The sequence below is a fragment of the Homo sapiens genome, chromosome X (genome assembly GCF_000001405.40).
Source record: "Homo sapiens chromosome X, GRCh38.p14 Primary Assembly".
In the NCBI taxonomy this organism is placed as follows: domain Eukaryota; kingdom Metazoa; phylum Chordata; class Mammalia; order Primates; family Hominidae; genus Homo; species Homo sapiens.
Window position 1 is genome coordinate 82208567 of NC_000023.11, and position 4003 is coordinate 82212569.

The window sequence follows — 4003 nt, forward strand, 5'->3', positions numbered from 1 at the left end:
TATTTTTGAGAAAGAAAAAAACGTTGTCTACAGTGTTTTACCTTCAGATTGATTCAAGACAGTAGGCCATCTCATACCTCCTTCAGGTTTTGTTGTTGTTGTTACTAGTGGTAATATCAGACAATCCCTTGAAAGGGGATGCTTGTTATGTCACTTCAAGATATGGTAGGGAGCATGTCCAAGAGGGCTGATAGTGAAGATGACCACTGCTAAAGGTAAGAATTAAACAAAGCCTCCATAATTTGACATAATTATGGGTTACCAAACTTTTGAAAAATCTTAGAAATTTGTCTTGCCAATTTGGCTTTACTGCAATCAGTTTCTTTTATTTGAGGTACAATGTACTTAAAACTCACACATTAAAAGGATGTAAAACAGGCAAAGGAAGATAGCATTTAACTGCTATTCATCTAAAATATATATTCCTATGTACAGAGAGCCTGGACAGTGTCAAATGAAACAAGCAATTAGTCTCTTTCTAACAGTAAGCAGTTCAAACTGTAACATCATGCCAGCCGTGATTAAGAATGATACAGCACATCATCATTGTCAACACTATTCAGCCAATGTAAACGTTAGTTAGAAATGCACTTGTCAGAGAAAAATGTGCCTTTGATTTCTATTACGCTTTCCCAGTAATTGCTGTCATCAGTGGCAGGTTATTATTACAGTTGAATAGAGTTTCAGTAATTACTTTTGCACAGATTCTAACAGCTTTTAGATTGAAGGATATTCTGACAATTTGAATACTCTTGACAACAATTACCTTTTTCCTGGTTAACACTGATTCAGTAAAATTAAAAATTAATTCTGTTCACAGGAAACATTTATGTATGTCACTGGCAAGTGGACTGATATTAAAAAATGTGTAAATTGAACAATGACTTAGAATTTTTAAAGTTTCTTTTCTCTTAAGTATTTTTGAAAATCGGCATTAAAAGAGATGCAGACTATGTTGCTTAGATTAATATTAAATGATGTGGAATGATTGAAAGAAGTCCTCAATTCAATTACTACCAAAAAATGTAATGTACTGTTATGCAGGAAGAAAATGTGTGTATTGGAAGAGCATAAGCATAATTATGAATATATGCATGCCTGTTTTTACCTAATGCATATGGCTATAAATGACTTTGGTAAATGGAGAGCAAAGTACATATATATTCCTGCATATTTTGCAGAGTAAAAATATGTTTCTATGAGGTTTGCATTTTATGACATAAAAATTGTCTGCTTATACCAAGTCAAGGGGAGAATTGATGGAATTATACAGAACATTTAGGATTAAACCGCTTTGATTTAAGACTTTGAAAAATTCAGATAATGAAGACCATAAGACTAGTTTTATAGTCACATATTTAAGGACGTCCAAGCTATAGTTATATTTGAAATATTCTTAACATATTAACTAATGGAAGTAAATATCACTGAGCTGCCACTTGTAAATAAAGACAAGAAATAAAGAGTAAATAATAGTTTACAAAAGCCTTCTAAAATAAATGTAATTTAAAATACTGGTTTCAAAGCCAGAATAAAGTATTATATATAGAAAGTATTAATAACCAAATTTCTTTGTATATAACATAAATAAAAAATAAAAATGAAGTAAAAAAATAAAGTACAACATAAATGTTACCAAAGAATAAAAAAAGCTATACCAAAATACAGGGGAAAAATGAAGGGAGCAAAATATTGAATAGGAAAAATATAGTTTGCTATGTTATAAAATCACTTTCAATAGATTTTTAAAAAATTACATGTTCTTTCTAAAATAACAATAGAAAGAAAACTAAAATTAAATGCCATCAAACTCTATAGTATACACAAAGCTACATTTATCTCATTAAATGGATTGTATGTGTGGAGGGCATATTATGTTCCATGTGATATTGATTTAATCATCTTTTCTATTAAGCAGAATAAAAATAGCCAACCTATATTGAAAACTCCAGTTTAACTGCTGTTAATTATTTTTTAGAATTATAGATAATATTTTCAAATGAAATAACTATATCAACAAAAACATCAGATTCACCTAATGGTATCAATCATCAAAGTCTCCTCTTGATTAATAATTTCAAGACCACTAATAGATTATTCAAAAGTTTTATTATTTTACACATAAGAAATAGCCCTACTATCAAAATACTTTATCTTCCTCAGTGTCTTCTTAAATGACTTAATTTTTCATCAACAATTGTCCTGCTTGTCTATTATAGAAATGTATCTGTAAACATGTGCCAGCTAACTTTTACTATAGTTCTTCAGGAAAATTTAGCTAGGAATGAAACTTATCTCTATGCTGGTATAAAATTCAAGCAGATTTACTATTTTTAAGTGCTTTATGCTAGAACATTTCAGAGTTTGTTTTATATTATGGGTTACAGGTAAAATAATTTTATATCTGAGGTGACATGGAGGGGTACACTGAAGTGATGAGTACTTCGACATAAGCCAAATGGTGTGTATATTTGAGTTGAAGGTTTCTCAAGGCCTAAAGTTTGGAAAACAACCACAGGAGAGATTTCAGGTCCTTGGTTGGTTACAGTACATTCTAAAAACAAAGCAGTTAAGTTTCCAGAAAATGATTGGCATTCAGGGTTGGGACAGGGACAGGATGCTGGGAAAAATACTATGAATGGCCACTGACAAGATATGTATTAACTACTGTAAAGGACAAAGGATAATAGTGTCCACTGAAGGGGATTTTCATGTTAAAGAAAATGATTCACAGTTGTGAAATGGTTCAAACACGGTATTCTGGGAAGGCATTATTAGTTTCTCATAGAGAAGTAAGTTAGAAGATGTCCTGGACCATGCCTAGACCATGTAAATCCATGAGTATCAGAAGTAGTTTGTGAGAAGAGCATAGGGTTGATTACATTCATTCTGGCCTGAAATAAAAGCTTATTGTAGGATAAGTGGTTCTTAGGCAAACACAAATAATCTGTTTATTTTTTTTTATTGTGGTCACAGGGTAGTTGTCAAAATACCATCAATGTAGAGTTATTCATTTTGTGTAGACATGCTTTTTCTCATATAGAGATCAAATAACTAGACTTTGGATGTCATCTTTGGTTGCTACTATGTGAATCCAAACATCTGGATAAAAACTGAACTTTTTGGTCAGGCTTCCAGCTATTTCCAGCTGTTTGACATTGGGTAGCCTTACATCTGGGCATGTGGTTACAATTTTTCCATTTTCCTGTTTCTCTGGATATTTGCATAATGTAGATGTGGCCTATGATTAGAAAAAAACTATCTAAATAATATATGCGTTTAAATAAACAGATCTTTGTTTTTAAATAAACTTAGCAGAAATACCTACTTTTACGTGTGACTATTCAGTTCTCACCTTGAATAATTTTTTCACAATATGTATTCACAAATACTTGTAATTTTATTTGTCAATTAATAATACATAAATGAAATGTTTTCTTTTACTAGAAATTAGTTACCTAATTTACATTATATATAGGTTAGAAACACAGTATGCCATCTAAAAATATTGTATATTAATAAGCCTCTGGCTATTAAAAGGACGCAGAGAATAAAGCATTAGGAAAGCAAAGCATAAAGTTCAGAATATAAGCCCAAAGACGGTCCTTGGATTTTTTTTTCTTTTTTTTTTTTTTGAGACGGAGTTTCACTCTTGTTGCCCAGGCTGGAGTGCAATGGCGCGATCTCATCTCACTGCAACCTCTGCCTCCCAAGTTCCAGAAATTCTCCTGCCTCAGCCTCCCAAGTAGCTGGGATTTCAGGCATGTGGCATCATGCCCAGCTAATTTTTTGTATTTTTAGTAGAGACGGGGTTTCACCATGTTGGCCAGGCTGGTTTCGAACTCCTGACCTCAGGTGATCCACCCGCCTCAGCCTCCCAAAGTACTGGGCTTACAGGCGTGCGCCACCTCACCCGGCCATTCCTTTGAAATTTTAAAAACAATGTTTATAGTTTAAAATGGAAACCAACAAATTTGAAAAGGTAAATTACAAATAATTTTAT

The 4003-nt window shown here is 32.2% G+C and overlaps 1 annotated feature.

Annotated features, from left to right (window-relative positions):
- Window positions 225-1001: an enhancer, noted in NCBI's record as "VISTA enhancer hs582". NCBI's record gives its function as "enhancer in: forebrain[8/9]" and the evidence as "EXISTENCE:transgenic organism evidence [ECO:0001131][PMID:17130149]".